Source organism: Homo sapiens, chromosome 5 (genome assembly GCF_000001405.40).
Source record: "Homo sapiens chromosome 5, GRCh38.p14 Primary Assembly".
In the NCBI taxonomy this organism is placed as follows: domain Eukaryota; kingdom Metazoa; phylum Chordata; class Mammalia; order Primates; family Hominidae; genus Homo; species Homo sapiens.
Window position 1 is genome coordinate 16865095 of NC_000005.10, and position 17149 is coordinate 16882243.

At 43.5% G+C, this 17149-nt stretch overlaps 1 protein-coding gene across 2 annotated transcripts in view; it reads right to left on the reverse strand.

Annotated features, from left to right (window-relative positions):
• The window catches only part of MYO10 (myosin X), a 274382-nt gene that overhangs the window by 203188 nt on the left and 54045 nt on the right, over nt 1-17149 (reverse strand). For both annotated transcript variants that reach the window (XM_006714475.4, NM_012334.3), the window contains exon 2: nt 12515-12613. In XM_006714475.4, the coding sequence (XP_006714538.1) occupies nt 12515-12613 (99 nt within the window). The remainder of the gene's footprint in view (nt 1-12514; nt 12614-17149) is intronic.

Sequence of the window (17149 nt, forward strand, 5' to 3'; positions counted from 1 at the left end):
CTGCAACTGTTTTGATTGAAGTGAATTCCAAGAATAACAGATGGAGCACTATTAAAGTTTCAAAAAAAAAAGAAGCCAAAAACTATACATCGGATTTTAAAAAATTATCTGTCACTTATCACTAGCACAGTCCTCTTTCCCTTTACTTTTAGGGTGGCTGTGCAACCCACCTTCCTCCAGAGAAGGACCCTTCACCCGCATGCAGGGATAGCCCACCCACCCCGATATTCATAGCACGTGGCCAGGGCTCAGCGGTCTGGCATCCTCAGCAGATCTAAGCTGGGCTATCGGATTCTCCATTCCTAGAATCTGGGGCTGAGTCTCAACAAATCTTTCTTGACGTTGTCTATTTCTTAAGAAAAGATACAAACCATACTTTCGAATGTGCTATTATTTTGTAAAACAGTACAAAAAAGGTATCCAAGAGGAAAGCAGTTTAAAAATAAATTACAATGCCTGTAATCCCAGCACTTTGGGAGGCCGAGGTGGGTGGATCACCTGAGGTCAGGAGTTCAAGACCAGCGTGACCAATATGGTGAAACCCCGTCTCTCCTAAAAATACAAAAATTAGCCGGGCGTGGTGGCAGGCGTCTGTAGTCCCAGCTACTCGGGAGGCTTAGACAGGAGACTTGCTTGAACCCAGGAGGTGGAGGTTGCAGTGAGCCAAGATCGCACCACTACACTCTAGCCTGGGTGACAGAGTTAGACTCCGTCTCGATAATAATAATAATAATAATAATAGTAAAAAATAAATAACAAACGGAGTTATTGCTTAACAGGCTCGGAGTTTTTGTTTGGAGTGATGAAAAAGTTTTGGAAATGGTGTGATAACACGACATTATAAATGTGATTACTGCCACTAATACATTTAAAATTGTTAAAATTAAATGGTAAGTTTTATGTCATATTTATTTACCCAAACACACACACACACACACACACACACACACACACACACACACACAAAACAATAGAGGAAAACCCAAGCTCTAGTCCAAAAAAAATTGTGTATTTATTCATTTTCCTTTCAATTCAAACGTGGGTATTTGCCGAAGAAACTAGTAATAGCAAATCCTTCAGACACCCAGCAGAAAAAGTGAAAACCCCAAAAGGAATACAAATGTTACAGCTGTGAGCAAATGCACATACGCAACGGCACCAGCGTTAAAGCTGGCAGACTATTTTAGGGATACGCTTTGCCTCTCAACTGGACTGCGGAAAAACATTTGTATTTTGTTGAGCCATACTGTCATCAGACAGAAGAGTCACCAGAAAAATCCTATCTTTGAGCCATGAACAACAGATCAATGATAAGCTAAAAGATACCACATTAAAATGGAGGGCCATTAACTTGCTATTAGGCTGAACCATATGTGATTGCCGATCTCTAACCCTTTATGGCCTCTAGAAACGGCAATTTCATATGGTTCACAGGAACCCAGAGGTTAATTGGGTTGGAGGCAGCAGTTGCAATACAAGAGACATGTAAGACTCAGGGGCTACAGCCATGATGCAAATGACCTCCTGTTTCTTTCCTCTTGAGAGAAAAAGGGGTAAGATGTCTCCACTTTATGATGAAGATAAAAATATACATTTAAAAAAAAAAGACAAAAAAGCAAGGGAATTATGTCCAGGCCAGCTGACTGAAAAGAATCTAACCCTATCTGTCCCTGAGTTTGGTTTTGAGAGTCATTAGATCCTAACCACACTATGTTTGCATTATAAATGTGGCCCCCAACTGCCTTTTCCTCCAACCTCACGCATTTACTGCCTCCCTGCTGGTCTCCACCCACAGCCGCTCTTCCCGGGAACCTGGAGCTGCCCTCCCGGACCCCAGGTGGTCCCCTCCTGCCAGCTGCCCGACCTGGAGAGCGGGCCAGCTGCCACTCACTCAGTCTCCCTCGGGCTCCACATACAAGGAAAGAGTTCACAGTGAGCAGTGGGACCGTGCTCCTGCGCACCCGGGCAGCTGCCTTGGCACAGCAGCTGGCTTTGCGTGAGAAGCCTGGAATGCAGCTTCCCTAGCTGCTGGAACGTGTGGGCCTTCCTGGGCTCTCAGATAAGATTTTTCCCTTGGCTCAGATGTCTAGATCTGCCACTTCCCTTCAGCACTCAGATCGGTCCTCCTCAAGTTGAAGTCACTGGGTTCTAGTTGCCCAATTCTTCCTAATAATTCCTGGGGTCAGCTCCAAAGGACAGACCCGCCAGGCTGTCCCCTACTGACCATTTTCCTGCATTCAACAGGCTTGCGGAAGATTTTTCTGGGAGACAGGAGTGTGTGCAGATGGTGTACTGAACAGGAGGGTGTGAAAAGGTCAAAAGGTCGCCTACATCCACAAGGCATTCAAGGGACATAAAAACGACACCAATAGGGGCAAAGGGAAGGGGAGGGGGGAGCAAAAGAAAACCAGCTGGACAGGGTGGAAAGTGTGTGAAAACAACCAAAAATGCAATGAGAAGTCACTACATTAACTCACCTCTTACCAAGTTTCACAAAATTGGGCCGATGGCATTAACTCCAACAAACCAAAACCAGAGAGTCAAACCAAAAAGTCAGAGACGGCTTTAAGTGGGAGCTGCGATTGCTTTAAGTGGGAGCTGTGATTATAAATAATTAGTGCTGTGTTCCCAGTGTGGCTTGAAGAAGTCTGACTCTCTTAGCAGGTGGGAATGACTTGAAAGTCCCATGCAATCCCATGATCTTTTAGTGGATTAATAAAATGAGAAGAATTTTTTCAACCAAGCTTAGTTATCCTTGTTGCAAATAGAGAGAAGGACATGGAGGAGGTTGTCTACTTGCAGATTTGGATGATTAAATCCTCAACTAGTGAATATTTTGGAAGACCCTATAGAGAGACAATTCAAACAGAATACCAAACGGAATCCCTGCACAGAGTAATCGCCTTGATGAAATGGGCTGCAGTAAACTGAATAACTACCCCTTAAAATACAATTAGATAAACTGATATCACTCTAAACTATTTCAGAGCAATCAAATTAGACTCTTTCCAGAAAAAGATAATAAAATAGTTCTAATCACCAAGGTGAAAAATCTAATTTAAAACTTATTAATCAATTTTACAATGTTCCTAAAGAGTGCTACAGTGACTGCTCGTGCACCTCCTGGATGTTCCAGAAAAGACAAACGTTTAGTGCTGTCTTCCTTCTTACCCTTTTACATGAGTTGATCACCTGCAGAACCATGGTGCTTTTAAAAATCTGCTCTTCAGCTGGGCACGGTGGCTCATGTCTGTAATCCCAGCACTTTGGGAGGCCAAGGCAGGCAGATCACAAGGTCAGGAGATCAAGACCATCCTGGCTAACACGGTGAAACCCCGCCTCTACTAAAAATACATAAAATTAGCCAGGCGTGGTGGCACCTGCCTGTAGTCCCAGCCACTCGGGAGGCTGAGGCAGGAGAATCGCTTGAACCCGGGAGGCGGAGGTTTGCAGCAAGCCAAGATCGCGCCACTGCACTGCAGCCTGGGTGACAGAGCAAGACTCCGTCTCAAAAAAAAAAAAAAATTCTGCTTTTCTGAAACTCTGTCCAAAGCCTGTGGTCCAAGAAGACAACTGATTTCTAACTTGCAGGATATGTGCTGACCCGCCTGTGTGCTGGGGCCTTCAGAGGCCACAGTTACATATTTTTCAATAAAGTGTGAAAGAGTGTCATTTGCTCATTTCTTTTTCCATCTGTAAATACTTCACAGCAAGTATAAGTTACAAGTCAAATGGAATACTTTGGTTCTCTGTATTCCTAGTATCAACCTATAGTAGTTTAAATTTTAGAGTGGAATGAAATTTTAAATTAACATTAGAACGATCTCCTTGGCAAAAACAAACAACAAAAAAACAAAATTCCTTAAAGACTGAATGAAATAAGAAAGCATGGGTTGGGCAGTGGCTCACACCTGTAATCCTACTGCTTTGTTTTTTGTTTTTTGTTTTCAGACAGAGTCTCGCTCTGTCGCCCAGCGTGGAGTGCAGTGGCGCCATTGCGGCTCACTGCAAGCTCCGTCTCCCAGGTTCACGCCATTCTCCTGCCTCAGCCTCCTGAGTAGCTGGGACTACAGGCACCCACCACCACACCCGGCTAATTTTTTTTTTTTTTTTTTTTTGTATTTTTAGTAGAGACAAGGTTTCAGCATGTTAGCCAGGATGGTCTCGATCTCCTGACCTCATGATCCACCCACCTCGGCCTCCCAAAGTGCTGGGATTACAGGCGTGCACCACCGTGCCCAGGCCTATTGCTTTCAAAGACTGAGTCAGGTCACCTGAGGCCAGGAGTTCCAGACCAGCCTGGGTAACACAGTAAGACGCCACCTCCAGAAAAAATTTTTCAGGCATGGTGCACCCCTGTAGTCCTAGCTACTCAGGAGACTGAGACAGAAGGATCACTCAAGCCCAGGAGTTACAATGAGCTACGACTGGACCACTGCACCCCAGCCTAGATGACAGAGCAAGACCCTGTCGCTAAAAACAGAAGGTGGCCGGACGTGGTAGTTCACGCCTGTAATCCCAGCACTTTGGGAAGCCAAGGCAGGTGGATCACCTGAGGTCAGGAGTTCAAGGCCAGCCTAGCCAACATGGCAAAAGCGCATCTCTACTAAAAATACAAAAATTAGCCGGGCGTGCTGACGCATGCCTCTAATCCCAGCTACGTAGGAGGCTGAGGCAGAAGAATCGCTTGAACGCAGGAGACAAAGGTTGCAGTGAGCTGAGATTACACCACTGCACTCCAGCTGGGGCAAAAGAGCAAGACTCCATTTCAAAAAACTATAATAATAATAATAACTTAATAAAAACAGAAGGAGAAAGGAAGGGAAGGGGAAGGGGGAGGGGGAGGGGGAGGGGAAAAAAGAAAAGGAAAGGAAGCAGGCAGGTGTGCCCTTTAGTGATCTCACACGAAACAATACACTGTGATCTCCTGACACCCCGTGTTTCTGAGGTTCCATTTTAGGATTTTAGACACACATGGCTCTGCTTTTTCTCCAACACTAAACAGGATTTTAAAATTGCTTTTTAATTCACCTGAGAATTATGATGCCGCAGTCAGCCCAACTCCTGGCCGCTGGAGGGGAGGGCTCAGAGAATAAAAAGGAAAGGAAAAGCTTCGAAGTGCAAGAAAAAAACCTTCTAACTTTACCCAAAGCCCTCCTTCTTTGCTTTATCTTTGCTTCCTCCAAAACACTAATACTGGTGGAATACGGAAGGGCTTGAGTGCTTCTTGCTCTTCATTTTAAGTAATTATGACCCTAAGGCATTTTTCAGGAACGTCTTCAAAATCCTTACTACTCCAATGTGGTTGGTCCAGCAACATAATATCACCAAGGAGCTTGTGAAAAATTCAGCCCGCTCTCCAGCCCCACCCCAACCTGCCTGTCAGAATCTGCATTTTAACAAGATCCACAGGTGATTCGTATGCACCACTCTAAATCAAAGGAAAATTACACTAATAGTTTTGTAAACTCTTTGTGGATTCTAAGAGGTCACCTTTGGGTAAAATAAAAATTTCGCAGCAGGCACGGTGACTCACACCTGTAATCCCAGCACTTTGGGTGGCCAAGGCGGGTGAATCATCTGAGGTTGGGAGTTGGAGACCAGCCCGACCAACATGGAGAAAGCCCATCTCTACTAAAAATACAAAATTAGCCGGGCATGGTGGCATGCGCCTGTAATCCCAGCTACTCAGGAGGCTGAGGCAGGAGAATCACTTGAACCCAGGAGGCGGAGGCTGCAGTAAGCCGAGATCGCGCCATTGCACTCCAGCCTGGACAACAAGAGCAAAACTCAGTCACACACACACAAAAAAAATTCTCTGAAATTGTTTTTAAAGATATAGACAAATTGTCATTTGACAATTTCTACCATTTACCCACCATCTGACCTCAAACATGGTATTTCCTCTGTTGTGTGTGTGTTTACATATATGCTAACATAAAATGTTTCAGCTTAAGCATGTTTTAGTGCACAGTCTAGTGGCATGAAGTACAATTACAGTGTTGTGCAACCATCACCAGCATCCATCTTCCAAACGTTTCATCTTCCAAAACTGAAACAATATCCCCATTAAACAGTAATGTCCAAATCTCCCCTCCTCTCAGAAATACCAATATCTTAACATACCAAGCTGGGTCAAAATTAACCAATTTCCTTTAAAGTAACCAAGGACAGGCTTGATCAAGGACAAGACCATGCTCTAAACTTTTGACTCTGACTCCTTCAAGAATCTATGCCTGGCCCAGCACAGTGGCTCATGCCTGTAATCCCAGCACTTTGGGAGGCCAAGGCAGGCAGATCGCTTGAGCTCAGGAGCTGGAGACCAGTCTGAACAACATGGCAAAACCCCATCTCTACAAAAAATGAGTCAGGAGTGGTGGCATGTGCCCGTGGTCCCAGCTACTAGGGAAGCTGAGGTGGGAGGATCACTTGAGCCCAGGAAGTGGAGGCTACAGTGAGCCATGGTCATGCCACTGCATTCAAGACTGGGTAACTGAGCAAAATCCTGTCTCGAAAAAAAAAAAATCTATCCCTGGCCAGTTAAGTGCAGTGTTCCTGTCCTAGGCACCAGAACCAGTTAAAGAACTTCTCCTAATGCTTGGCGACGATTCCTGCATGTTCCACAGTGAACTTGTAACGTAAAGAGGGGAAGACTATGTAGGTCAGTAGAAAAACAAACTAGAGTCTTTGGGCCACTGACAGTTCTTGATCCAAGCCTGAATCCAATTTTAAAAATCTTGCCTCACTTTTCTCATAACCCCGCAATTCCTACATGAGTCACCAAGCTAATTATACTTGTTATATTTGGGAATGACAGAGTGGACAACATAAAACTAAGCATTCGATGACCAAATGAAGATTAGAGGTCAAGGCTCAGCGTTGTTTTCACATTTAAGTACACATTATCATAGTTCAGTTCCTTCCAAACCCACAACCCATAAATACTGTTGAAAATGATCAGAACTACTGACCCAACCAATCCATTCCACTCCCACCTCACTAAGAGCTGCCCATGGACAACAGCTGGCAAGGGCTTCACATGGCCCAGACTGCCGACCACAAGTCAAGGGCAGTGGCACCCAGAGACTGGTAGAGCTGTTGAGCTAGGAGCCTTTGTCAGAAAGCTTAGTTAGAATAGGAATAAAAAGTATCTTGAGAGCCTTAGGGACATCATGCTAAGTGAAATAAACCAGCCACAAAAGCACATATACTGTATGAGTCCACTCACTGAAGTATTTAAAGTAATCAAAGTCATAGGAACAGAAAGAAGAGCAGTTACCAAGGGCTAGAGGAATTAGTGATTAGTGGGCATAGAGTTTCAGTGCTGCAAGATGAAAACATTCTTGAGATCTGCCACACAACAATGTGAATAAACTTAACCCTAGTACCCTTAAAAATAGTTAAGATGGTAAAGTTAATGTTATGTGATTCTTACCATAATTTTTTTAAAAAAGAAAAAAGTTAAAAGACTAAAAGGAAAACATCTTTGGGATTAAAATATAATTCAATAAGAAAGGGAAAGAATGCTATATTAGTCTGTTTTCATGCTGCTGATAAAGACATACCCAAGACTGGGAAGAAAAAGAGGTTTAATTGGACTTACAGTTCCACATGGCTCCTCAGAATCATGGCAGGAAGCGAAAGGCACTTCTTACATGGTGGTGGCAAGAGAAAATGAGGAAGCAAAAGCAGAAACCCCTGATAAACTCATCAGATCTTGTGAGACTTTTTCACTATCACAAGAATAGTACAGGAAAGACTGGCCCCCATGATTCAATTACCTCCCCTCTGGGTCCCTTCCACAGCATATGGGAATTCTGGGAGATACAATCCAAGTTGAGATTTGGGTAGGGACACAGGCAAACCATATCATTTCATCCCTGACCCCTCCAAATCTCATGTCCTCACATTTCAAAACCAATCATGCCTTCCCAATGGTCCCCCAAAGTCTTAACTCATTTCAGCATTAACCCAGAAGTCCACAGTCCAAAGTCTCATCTGAGACAAGGCAAGTCCCTTCCACCTATGAGCCTGTAAATTCAAAAGCAAGCTAATTACTTCCTAGATATAATGAGGGTACAGGTATTGGGTAAATAAAGCCATTCCAAATAGGAGAAATTGGCCAAAACAAAGAGGTTACAGGGCACAGACAAGTCTGAAATCCAGTGGGGCAAATTTTAAAGCTCCACAATTATCTCCTTTGACTCCAGGTCTCACATCCAGGTCACACTGCTGTAAGAAGTGGGTTCCCATGGTCTTGGGTAGCTCCACCCCTGTGGCTTTGCAGGGTACTGCCTCTCTCCCAGCTGCTTTCATGGGCTGGCGTTGAGTGTCTGCAGCTTTTCCAGGTGCACAGTGCAAGCTGTCAGTGGATCTACCATTCTGCGGACTGGAGGACAGTGGCCCTCTTCTCACAGCTCCACTAGGCGGTACCCCAGTAGCGACTCTGTGTGGGGGTTCCAACCAACATTTCCCTTCCACACTGCCCTAGCAAAGGTTCTCCATGAGGGCCCCACCCCTGCAGCAAACTTCTGCCTGGGCATTCAGGCATTTCCACACATCTTCTGAAATCTAGGCAGAGGTTCCCAAACCTCAATTCTTCTGTGCACCTGCAGACTCAACAACACGTGGAAGCTGCCAAGGCTTGGGGATTCTACCCTCTGAAGCCACAGCCTGAGCTGTACATTGGCCTCTTTCAGCCACGGCTGGAGTGTGGAGTGGCTGGGAGACAGGGCACCAAGTCCCTAGGCTGCACACAGCACAGGGACCTGGGCCCGGCCCACTAAACCATTTTTCCTCCTGGGCCTCTGGGACTGTGATGGGAGGGGCTGCCGTGAAGGTCTCTGATATGGCCTGGAGACATTTTCCCCATGGTCTTAGGGATTAACATTAGGCTCCTTGCTACTTATGCAAATTTCTGCAGCCAGCTTGAATTTCTCCCCAGAAAATGGGATTTTCGACTGGGCATGGTGGCTCACGCCTGTAATCCCAACACTTTGGGAGGCCAACGTGGGTGGATCACAAGGTCAGCAGATCGAGACCATCCTGGCTAACACGGTGAAACCCCATCTCTACTAAAAACACAAAAAATTAGCTGGGCATGGTGGCAGGCGCCTGTAGTCCCAGCTACTCAGGAGGCTGAGGCAGGAGAATGGTGTGAACCCGGGACGTAGAGCTTGCAGTGAGCCGAGATCGCGCCACTGCACTCCAGCCTGGGCGACAGAGCAAGACTCCATCTAAAAAAAAAAGCGGGGGGGGGGGGGGGTTTCTTTTCTATCACATAGTCAGGCTGCAAAATTTCCAAACCGTTATGCTCGCTTCCCTTATAAAACTGAATGCCTTTAACAGCCCCCACATCACCTCTTGAATGCTTTGCTGCTTAGAAATTTCTTCCACCAGATGCCCTAAATCATCTCTCTCAAGTTTGAAGTTCCAGAAATCTCTAAGGCAGGTGCAAAATGCCAACAGTCTCTTTGCTAAAATATAACAAGAGTCACCTCTGCTCCAGTTCCCAACAAGCTCCTCATCTCCATCTGAGACTATCTCAGCCTGGATTTCATCATCCATATTTTTATCAGTATTTCTGTCAATGCTATTCAACAGGTCTTGAGGAAGTTCAAAACTTCCCCACATTTTCCTGTCTTCTTCTGAGACCTCCAAACTGTTCCAACCTCTGCCTGTTACCCAGTTCCAAAGTTGCTTCCACATTTTCGGGTATCTTTCCAGCAAGTATCCATGCCTGGTACCAATTTACTGTATTAGTCCATTTTCACAACTGGGAAGAAAATGAGGTTTAATTGGACTTACAGTTCCACATGGCTTGGGAGGCCTCAGAATCATGGCGGGAGGCAAAAGGAACTTCTTACGTGGAGGCGGCAAATGAGGAAGAAGCAAAAGCGGAAACCCCTGATAAACCCATCAGATCTCATGAGACTTATTTGCTATCACAAGAATAGCATGGGAAAGACTAGCCCCCGTGATTCAATTACCTCCCCCTGGGTCCCTCCCACAACACATGGGAATTCTGAGAGATACAATTCAAGTTGATATTTGGGTGGGGACACAGCCAAACCATATCAAGTGCCATGAAAAACCTATTTTACAACGCTTTCAGGAACACAGTTTTGTTAAACGAATGACACTGTTTAGATATTGTTTTCCCTTTTCACATCATCTTGAGAAGTATGTACAGGTCCTGAAAGAAACCAAATTCTCATCTGGGGAAACTGAGACAGAAGACAGGCGGAGTGACAGAAAAATGTGGCCAGTCCTATCCTACAGGGAAACTTAAACATTTAAGCAGTGCCTGATACTAAAGTTGAGCAAAATTCACTTATTTACTCCCTAGACTACAGATCATACTATACTACCCGAGACTCTGATGGAGAAGGAACTAGACTGGGTGTTGGTGAAGTGTCCACACTGTCAGTGACCATTAGACATGCTGTCTCTTTGTTCCCCCTCTCTCCCCATACCCTGAAATCTATATCCACAAAGCACAGTTATATCTATATACTGAAAATCCATTCAAGACTCTCAGAAGAAAAAGAAATGAAGGAGTTACAAACACAGTATTAACTACAGCTTATCAAATCAAGAACTAAGAATGGTTCCACCAAGTAGACCGCCCCTGCTAAGAAGTTTTGATAACCAAGTAGCCCGTCTGCCTCAAATTATGGAAACTGGCCCTGAAGCTTTTATTCTCAACACAACAACTTACAAACTCAATTCATAAACTATGTGGTTTTGGCCAGGGATGGTGGCTCACTTTGGGAGGCCAAGGTGGGCAGATCACTCGAGGTCAGGAGTTCAAGACCAGCCTGGCCAACATGGTGAAATGAAACCCCATCTCTACTAAAAATACAAAAATTAGTTGGGTGTGGTGGCAGGCACCTGTAATGTCAGCTACTCAGGAGGCTGAGGCAGGAGACTCACTTGAACCCAGGAGGCGAAGGTTACAGTGAACCAAGATGGTACCACTGCACTCCAGGCTGGGCAACAGAGCAAGAATCCATCTCAGAAAATAAAAAAATAAATAAAAATAAAAACATAAACTATGTGTTTTAGATCCTTGCATTTGACTATCTTTTATTTCCTTAAGTCTTAAATTTTAATATGTACCTCTGAGGTAGAGGCCAATTTATAACATTAAATTAGTTTCCTTAGTAAAATGGACGTGCCAGGTTTCTCTTATAATCATCAGAATATAATCAAGCAAACCAGTTTTTGGATTTACATATTTAATTTTAGTGATAGGACTTTTCATTCATTTTACACTAAAGAAACAAAATCAGGAACAGTGGTGCTCCTATAAACAGGAGAAACTTCTTCAGTTGCTTAACAAGGTAGATAAATAGGCTCAGCTTCAGTGATTTAGTCAGTCTTCTTCTTACAGTGATCAGGACAACATTACCCTAAATTCTCAGTGGGATCCTAGTATTTTCAACACTCTATTTGTGATTAACTGGTTTGTTTTCTGAGAAGGAGTCTTGCTCTGTCACCCAGACCTGAGTGCAGTGGTGCAATCTCGGCTCACTGCAACCTCCGCCTCGCAGGTTGAAGCAATTCTTCTGCCTCAGCCCCCCAATTAGCTGGGATTACAGGTGCCTGCCACCACAGCTGGTTAATTTTTGTATTTTTAGTAGAGACGGGGTTTCACCATGTTGGCCAGGCTGGTCTTGAACTAAGGACCTCAAGTGATCTGTCCGACTCGGCCTCCCAAAGTGCTGGGATTACCGGCGTGAGCCACTGTGCCCAGCCTGAACTGAATGTTTGTATTCTCCCCCCAAATTAATATGTTGAATTCCTAATCTCCCATGCAGTGCTGTTAGGGTCTTTGGCAGGTGACTTGGTCATGAAGGTGCAGCCTTCATGAATGGGATTAGTGCCCTTATAAAAGAGGCCCAAGAGAACTCCCCCTTCTACAATGTGAGGCCCAGCAAGAAGCTGGCTGGCTATGAACCAGTGAGCAGAGGCCTCACAAGACACACAACTGCCAGCATCTTGATGGCCTTGGACTCTCCAGGCTCCAGAACTGTGACATCGATATTTGCTCTTCATAAATCACTCAGTCTATGGTATTCTGTCATGGCAGCCCAAACTGACTAAGACACTACGAAAGTTTAAGAATTTTAAGAGAAAGTAACAAGTTAATCAGTCAGCAAATATCATATACTTGAACTTTTGCTCAAATTACTTGCATCCTCTACTTCTGATAGCTGAAAAAGATGAAAGAAGGCAGAAAAGATACCCAGGAGGGAAACCAGGCCAGTGCCATGCCCTTCTGTCCCCACACTAGTTGGAATATTTGCTGTGTTCCATTTGAGAGAACTGTATTGTATCTATTACACACACATGGTTTACATTCTACATTCCCACTGGGATTTTGAATTATCACTTAGGAAAAAAATGTAAAGCGTGTGTATGTGTAGGGGGGCCAAGCACACATGCCCTGGGCACGAATAGCTACAAAGCAGACCATGGATGTTGGGAAGCTGCAGGGACTTGTTCTCACCTGACCATAGTCTGTCCGGAAGACGACGATGCCTTCTGCACAGGAATTTACAGTACTTGGAAAATGCTGGCCATTTTCTCTCAGCCAGACCCGTGTTCCCTGTAAACAAAACAAACAAGACTGAACTGAGTTTGGATTGCATTTTGTGGCGAAACTGTACTGTCGAAATTACCCTAACTCCTATATTCCTTTAAAAAAAATCTTCTTGAAAAGTAAATGTCTTTCTCAAGCAAAGAACAAATCTTCGCAAAGCATCATCCACAGGCTTTACTATCCACAAGTGTGACTGAGAGTCCCATCAGACATAGAAGGCAAAGAGGGACTAAGAAAATAGTAGCTAGCCCCTGTGTTCTCACCATGCAACTGATTTAGGTGGATTACGTCATTTGAGATGATGAAGCAGGCACTATGACCATTCCCATTTTACAGATGGAGAACCAGAGGCCTAGAGGTAAACTAACTTGCCCAGCATCACAAAGACTGAGCGAGTGCATGACAGGCAGTTGGGCTCCAGAAACCAGAAGTTTAACTAGGTCTCAACAAGCCTTCACCCTCTTTGAGAACTCTTCAGAAACTAATGGCTCCCATTCTCTTAGGTCAAAGTCCGGTACACTTGCCCACTTGGAGGACATTAGACCACTCCCTTGACTCCTACTTATACCAAAATCCATGTGTAAACTGGACTCTCCAAAAGAGGAACTGAAGTTTCTAATATTTATCAGAACTCAGTCCACCAGCACAAATTTTGTTAGGATTACATGAGACACCTAATGAACTTCAAAGTTCAGGATTGTATCTTAAAAGATGGCAACTTCCAGATCCCACGTTTTAAATCTTGGGCACATTTTTTGGCATTGATCTCATTTCCACTTATTTATTTCCCCACTGGACAAATGAAATATCATATTGAGCTTTTTCAAGGCTCAATTTCATCTTCCTTTGATTTAATCACATGAAACTTTTTCAAACACAAGTGATAAAGTTTGGAGGAATTACTGGGTGTTCACTGGTCAAAGAATTACCTTCATGAATACTACTCAGCCATAAAAAGGAATGAAATAATGGCATTCACAACAACGTGGATGGAGCTGGAGACCATGATTCTAGTGAAGTCACTCAAGAATGGAAAACCAAACAACATACGTTCTCGCTTATAAGTGGGAGCTAAGCTATGAGGATGCAAAGGCATAAGAATGACATGATGGACTTTGGGGACTCAGGGAGAAGGGTGGGAGGGTGGCGAAGGATAAAAGACTACACAACAGGTACAGTGGACACTGTTCGGGTGATGGGTGCGCCAGAATCTCAGAAATCACCACTGAATAACATATCCATGTAACTAAACACCACCTGTCCCCCCAAAAACTAATGAAATTTAAAAAAAAAAAAGAAAAAAAAAGAATTACTTTTATGACGTTTACCCATATGATGGAATGCAACACTGAGCTTCAGTATCTCATTAAACTTTTTCTACTCTGCTCAACAATTTCAATTCCAACAAAAATGACACCAAGCACATCCTTATGAATCAATGTATTCAAGTGGAAATAGAACAAAATTATCACTTGACATAGCACTTGATTTTTTTCTCCCTCCCTCCCTTCCTAAAATAGCACTTTAACTGAACAACTCCTTTTCTAGAATTTTCTACCTCATTTCATTTATTTCTGTTTTGTTAAATATTTGAAATATGCTGGTTATGGTATGTTCCACTTCTAGTTCAAGGAGGTAGTACTGCTCTTTAAACACAGAGTTGGCAGGGGATAAATGACACACCAGTAAACTCCTCATTTTACGCTACTTTAAATGGTGCCAATCAATAGCAAACATAGTCACCTCCAGTAAAGGAGTGCCCCAGATATATCAGGGTCATGTGCTAAGAAGTCTCAATGACATTATATTGAATACTAACCTTCTGTAAACTAGGAATCCTCTCAATTCCAAGAGGAAATTGCAGCTTGGAGCTTAAGACTTTGCCCAGTGCCACACAGCTAGTGACCTAGGCAGGTCTCTCCAAATTCCTAACCCCATGCTCTTCCCACACATCACACTGACTCCACTTGTCTCCTGAAAATAATTCATAAATAAATCAAAGGCACTCATAAATCAGCCAGCAATTAAAATCTAACAACACAGAGTCACCTTAAATGGCCTGTTATCACACGTAACTATTTGTTCTCTCTCATCTTCCTAGGAAGGAACATTTAAGACGACACAAAATCTGACGTAAAGGTTACTCCATTCCCTCAGTGCCCATGATAACACTGTTTAAAATCCACGAGCCAGAGGCCGGACGTGGTGGCTCACGCCTATAATCCCAGCACTTTCGAAGGCCGAGATGGGTAGATCACTTGAGGTCAGGAGTTTGAGACCAGCCTGGCCAACGTGGTAAAACCGCGTGTCTACCAAAAAAGTACAAAACTTAGCCAGACATGGTGGCGCATGCCTGTAATCCCAGCTTCTCAGGAGGCTGAGGCAGGAGAATTGCTTGAAACCAGGAGGCAGAGGTTACACTGAATTGAGATCGTGCCACTACGCTCCAGCCTGGGTGACAGAGTAAACTCTATCTCAAAAAATAAATAAATAAGTAAATAAAATCCACAAGCCAGGACCTCAAATGTTAACTGTTACTCGGGATCCATAGTTGTCACTCTTTGTTTGATGAATGAATCTGGGGCGGGCCAACAGGAATCCCCAGAAGGAGGTTCTACAAACATTTCTAAAATCACAGTGGCTGGAGATCCCAATATTGAGGTGGAACAGACTCCTTTCCCCACTGACCAACTCACAGAGTTCCCCGGAGAGTTATACGACTCTCCTAGTATCCCCTATTGTGACCTTATCTATAAGAGGCCCTCCCCATAGGCACTCATTTCCCTGGTACATGCTATGGAGATTCTAAGTTGTTTACTCCATTCATAGATCTTCAAAGATGCTCCAAACAGGAGTTTAAATCCTCTGCTATAAAGATGGAAAATAGCATCAAAAATGAATATTAAGTGCTCCTATATAAATCCTGAGGCCTGCCTATGTAAAGAACACACAGCACCAACAGGGGCCAGTACCTATTTGCACACAAGTCCCTCACCCCCTACTCTTGCTTCAGCCTGAGACACTGATAACACACATGAAGAATGAGACTTAACAACTGCCTGTCAGTCCTGATTTCTTTATTAGCAAACAGCTGCTTCCAAAAAGAACACTGACTTCAGGCATCTGCTACGACGCTGGTCTCTCAAATATCACTCCATACCCAAGCCACATTATTTGTAACATTCTAGAAAAAGATTTCAAGTGCCTGATGACTTTTTTCGGCCTCTCTTTAATTCACATGTCAGGGACTGCAATATTTGAAAGCTTTTAAATATACACCTCCCAACACACATACACGCCCATGCTCGCAGCAATGAAAATGTTCAAAGTGATATAAGGCAAGAACTTTTACTCATTAGGTTAAAATCAGGAAACAATAACTCCCAGTGTAACTCCAACCCAGAACCCCTAGTCCAAAGCTTTCTGTGTATTGTGACCATCACTAGCATTGTTTTCATTAAAAAGGATTTCACACACCTGTTTCCCAATCAAAATTGTCTATTTAGTAAGAATGAAATTGAGATTATGCAACATTATCAAATTAATATAAACTGTCAGCAGGATTAATATGTACCCTTTTGGCTTCCACAGGCCATCCAGAACATATTTTTTCACTCCAGCGTGCAGTTTCTTTGACTTAGCATCTCACTGTGGGTCTCTTTACCCTTTCGTTTGAAAGTACTACAAAAGCCCTTTGTTGACACAGTGCTTTATGATCAAATACACAGTTCAGCTCCTGCAGTCCAAAGGTCTTCTCCAACAGGTGTGAAGAACTGCTGATAAGCAACTTTTACAAAATCCAGCCCAGATTTCAAATCCACAGCCCATTGGCCAGTTTTCCTAGGTCTATCACAAACAGCTGTCTTCCACAGGTGGGAAGGGAAATGCATTCAAAACACCCCCTTTGTTCTTTGAAAAAGTATTAACTGGCAATTTTCATAGAATCGGAATTGCAAAGTTAAACTGCTGAAATAGGTATTTTTTACATAGATTGTTCCTGGTGCTTTCTCTGAGACCCCAATCTTTCTACTTCCACTCTATTAGAACACATGTGCCCAGGTCCGAAAGAGGCCACCCACAAGCATTTGAAAACAAAGTCACAGGCAGACATTTACCAGACCATCTAAGTTGGAGTGGGAAAGAAAAATTTGCCCACCGTATGCAAACTATTACATTCAGTCATTGTTAAATAAGGCTGATAATTTAATACATTATATAGGCAACCTAGCATATGGAAAAGGCTCACAATTTGATTAAAAAATTGCCTTTATAAGCAGGTGGAACAAGTTTGATCATAACATACACATTTTATTAAAACGTGGACAAGTTTGCATCTTAATTTCTGAGACAAATATGTGAGTGTTAATATAATGGCTAAAAATTTTTCTGTACATAATCACCAGAAATGTTTCTGCAATATAAAGCACTTATGCATAAATTCCTATCCCCCTTTGAACTTTAAAGCAATCCTATAAGACAGAGAGGCAATACCGTCCCTTTCTTCAAACGTAAGGTTCACAGAGGTTCCATTTTCTACTGCCA